The sequence below is a fragment of the Homo sapiens genome, chromosome 2 (assembly GCF_000001405.40).
Source record: "Homo sapiens chromosome 2, GRCh38.p14 Primary Assembly".
NCBI classification, from domain to species: Eukaryota; Metazoa; Chordata; class Mammalia; order Primates; family Hominidae; genus Homo; species Homo sapiens.
Genome location: NC_000002.12, coordinates 106,052,315 through 106,056,941, shown reverse-complemented (window position 1 = coordinate 106,056,941; position 4,627 = coordinate 106,052,315). Strand labels below are relative to the sequence as shown.

At 46.5% G+C, this 4,627-nt stretch overlaps 1 annotated feature.

The window, feature by feature from the left end:
- Window positions 2,889-4,088: an enhancer, noted in NCBI's record as "CDK7 strongly-dependent group 2 enhancer chr2:106669310-106670509 (GRCh37/hg19 assembly coordinates)". NCBI's record gives its function as "activates an origin of replication core promoter dependent on BRD2, BRD4, P300/CBP, MED14 and CDK7 cofactors, with strong dependence on CDK7, by STARR-seq in HCT116 cells {active_cell/tissue: HCT116}" and the evidence as "EXISTENCE:reporter gene assay evidence [ECO:0000049][PMID:35650434]".

Below are 4,627 nucleotides of genomic sequence, written 5' to 3'. Positions count from 1 at the left end.
TTAAATTCTTTCATTCAACAAGTTTTGACAAATGTCTGCAGTTGCATAACTACCACATAAGCATGGCTCTCCCATCACCCCAAAATGTTCCTCCCTTCCCTTTGTAGTGATTCCCTTCTCCACCCCCTCAGGCTCTGGCAACCGCTGTCTTACTTTCTCTACCAACTATAGTTTTGCCTTTTCCAGAATTTCATATGGATGGAATCGTAAGAATGAAGTCTTTCATATCTGGCTTCTTTCACTTAGAACAGTGTTTTCAAATTCGCGTTGCTGTATCAGGAGGGTTTCCTTTATTGAGGAGTTTTATTGATGATTCCATTGTATTGATACAGAAGGGCTGGGCTCCTGGCTAAACTCCACCCTTAAGCCTGGAACCGCGGCCCTAAGTGAAAACAGTACCCAAATGTTGCCTTTTTGGCTTGCCCCACCCCTAACCTTTGCCCATGAAAGACTTCAGCTGGCAGAGCAACACAAGCGGCTGAGTGTCGAGGATCGAGCGGCTGAGCCGCAAGCTAGGGAAGCAACTTAACAGTCGACACTAAGGATAGACGCGGCTAACTTCAGACGATGCGGCTTCCAAGAGGAGCCCGATTAGGCATCAGAGAAAGACCTTCCCATCCCCTTTCCAGCCTCCCTTTCCGCTGACAGCCACCCATGGGTCAATAAAGTCTTCCGCATTTATCATCTTTCAAAGAGATCGTGCGACTCAATTCTTCCTGGATGCCAGACAAGAACCTGGATGCCAAGAGGGCAGGGGCTGCCACACTGACCGTCCACTGAGCTGGTTGGCACTTGGTTGTCCCCGGACGGCAGAGCTGAAAGAGCATTGGTTGTCACACGCCTGGATGCTGTTGCGGAGCCTGCACAGAGCCTGCTCCCCCTGGAGAGGAGAGACCGGCCCGGCCCGTTGCAGAGTTCATTTGCTCCGGTTCCTGCACTCAGCGGGCCGAGTGAAATGAGACATTCCAATTTCCTCCGTGAAGGGAGTCAAGGGAACTATCCCGTCCCGTCATAGGCCATTTATTGATGTATCTACTCACCAATTTGTGAATATGTGTGCTGTGTCCATTTTAGGGGGCCATTACAAATAAAGCTGCAATAAACATTTGTATCTGTGTCTTTGTGTGGGCACATTTTCTTGTCTCTTTGGTAGGTCCATGGGAGGACGATGGCTGAGCAATGTGGTAGTTTGTGTTTATCTACATTATTTAACCTCCATCGAGATAATGAGGATGTGCAAGGCCACCAATTCATTGCCCAAGTGCGCATTGAGCGACTTGTGCCAGGCAAGGCATGAGGAACTCAAAGCCAATTCAAGGGGCTGACAGTTGGCGGGGAGGCCATTTCACAGAAAAGAGTGCCAGCTCCTGAGGAGACAGAGAGTGAATGGAATGGGTTCTTAGAACCCATGTCATTCAGGCTTCTCGGAGCAACAGCCAACCCTCCCCTGCGTGTGCGATCCTGACGTCAGGGACTCACCACGCCACAGGAAGCCATCCCCACTGTGGCACTGCTCTGTGACTGTAAGGAAGCTCTTCCCTGGGGGGGCCGATGTCACTCTCAGCTGACAGTGCTGTCTGGAGTAAGCCTAACCCTTTCCACCCAGCCTGTGACCCTCAGAGCCCCTTCTTAGTTTTGACTGAGTCCAGGAGAGACCAGCTGCACAGTCCTCCAGCTGAGCTGCCCATCTCACAGAAATTGTGAGAAATAATGAGTTGCTGTTGTCAAGCCACTGGTTTGGGTGGTTCGTTATGCAGCTGTAAGTAGCCCAACAGCAGTCTTTTCTAATCTGAGTGCCACCACAAGGCTAGGCAGTGCCTGGGCTCGGGGCCCCCTCAGGGGATCTGTGAGGCAGAGTCCTGAGAAACAGACATACAGACGACCAGCAGGGAGGAGAGGCAGGGGTGAGTCTGAGAAGACCCTGGTGAGAAAGGAGGGTACTAAGCAGCAGGGAAAGAAAACAGCAGGAGGGAAAAGTGTTTGCTGAATGAATTAAGGCCTCGGGCTTGTGTGGGCCATATGGACGGGAATGCACCAAGAACAGGGTGGCCACACTGAGGGAAGCCTCAGTTGTGACTTGCAGCTGAGTGCAGAAATCTATGCTTTGGTACTGATGGCAGTATTTTAAAAATACGTGAAACTGGACAACACAGGTTAACAGGCACCTTTAGCTTCCCGGATAGGGAAAATTTTGCCATAAGTTTATCATCTTACCTTTACAGTAATCTTAGCGTATTTTAAAACTTTTTTGTGATAATGTGTAGTTTAATGTAATGTCATGAGGACTTCAAACCAAAGGAACTCAATAAAACTCCAGGAGCCGCACAGCAAGTCAAACCTCAAACACATTCCAGCCTCCTACAGGATGCCCGGTCCTCTGGGCATGCCGGTGGCTGCAGACTCCTGGCAAAGTCACAATGCTCAGCCGCTAAAAGAGATGTCATCAGGCCCCTGCCTGCCTGAGGTACGCTGGTCCCTCTGCATGGTGAACTCCATGCTGTGACGTTATGGTGGTGCTTTGTTAAGTCCGGCTTTATTCCAGCATTGAACTGCTTCTTTCTATTTCTACTAAGAACACTGCATCTGTAGCCGTTGCTTTTGATTTCCTGCCTCAATATTGCTGGAGTATTTTCCCCCCAAATTTAATTTAGTATGCATTTATAGTGTGTTTATGTGTTCGAAGCACTGTTAGGGAATCCAAGATGAACAAGACATGCCCCCTGCTCTCAACAAATGCATAGTCTATTTTAATTATGCATTTTGCTATGTCTTTGCTTCAGACTGTGACTCACAACCACATAAACAAACCCACCAAATTCTGTCTCTCTTTCCATGGTTGTATAATGGAAAGTTATAGGTAGGTTAGGACACTGCTTGCTGTTTTTTGGTTTTAAACCATTAAATGACAACCATGTCAGAATTATATTGGTTAAAAGACCATAGAAATCCTGTGGCCAACCACGATTGGATTAATGGCCCAGAGTGAGTTAAGTGCCTATCTTGCCCCGTGCATTGCAGGGCTGTTTTTTCTGCCTTGCCCATGCCCGCTGGTGCTCCTCTTCCTATCTGCTTCCACCAGGGACTCCCTTCTCTTCCAACCTGTGCTTCCCCCTCCTGGGTGACCTTCTCTTCAGCCTCCGTGGAGCCACCCAGGAATGCACAGCTGATCCAAGTCCCTTCCCGGAGACACTCAGACCCATGCCAGTGACAGCATTGCTCAATGTAGCTGAAGCTGTGCAAGGAAAGTCCAGGGCCTGTTGGTGGAATCTTGTGGAGAACGCAGTCTGCAGGAAGGGAAAGGATGAAGTCACAGAGGAAGCAGAGAGATGAGAATGGGCATCCTAGGGACCTGGTTGGGCTCTGCTTGTGACTTTCTTGATCCTGTGTGAGATATCCCATAATCTTCCCAATGAATGAAATTAGTTGCTTGCTTAAATCAGTTGCTCAAGTTCAATCTTAGTCCTTAAATTAGCACTTTGTCACTTAAGACACAAAGTGGCCTGATGCTCCAAAATTTCCACAGAGCCGGGCTACTCATCATTCAACACCTAGCTCGAAACAGTATAAAAATAATAGGGGCCATCCCACAGAGCTTTCTCTGTTACAGTTCACATTTTTGTACTTGGGCCAAACCCACTTTGCATTTCCTGTCTTACACCCACAGAGACTGGCATCTGGGAGGGTTCAGATACTTCAAATAGCATATGGACAGCAATGCTGGAACCTGACTGGGGGAAGGAAGAGCATTCATTTCCATTAATAAGAAGCAACAAGCCTCCTTATTAAATGGCCAGGGCCTCTGGATAATCTTAACATTAAGGCATTTTGTCCACATCAAGCAGCTCTCCTTCTACCAACTGTCCTCCCACCCCTTCCACGCCTAGACCTGCATTGTCAAACTCAAGATCAGACTTGGATGCAAAGAGAAGTCCTGTCTCCTTTAAGAGTTTACATCAAAGCAGCTCCTGTTGATTATACCAAGCCTTTGGTTCCTTATATTTGTTGCTTTTTATATGGAGCAAGTCATATTTTACACAGCATGAAAAACAGCCATAAGCATTTAGATACTCCGTGAGAATAGAATAAATTTCCACAGGATAAATGCTTCTTTACAAGCCCAAGTACCTCAATTAGTCACTCCTCCCTCTGTATTGAGAAACTTAAAATAAATATCTTTGGGAGAATTTTAGAGAGGAAGACATTGGCTAGAATTTGCTCAGTTTAAAACAATCAGCTTCAGTTTCATGAAAGTCTAACATCTAAATCAATTGAATGTTTAGTTGGCCCAAGACTAATTGTCAAACATCTCGATGAAAAGGACTGATTAAATACCACTGACTATGAATTTGAGTGAAATCAATCATTTATATAAAGCTTTGGCACAAATTGTTTTTCCAGATCAGCTTTTTTCATCAAAATTCCTGATGATGGCAAAAATGCAGAGCCCAGAGTAGACTTTAGTCATTCATACCATGTTGCTGCATATCCAATGATTATCACTGCCAACAAAACAAGGCCTTTCAATTTCCCCACAGACATCAGACATGCAAATAGTTGGGAGATTATTTAAACATCAATTATTAAAGTTATCCAGGCTATGCTGTGCAGACAAGGACCTCACTCCAGC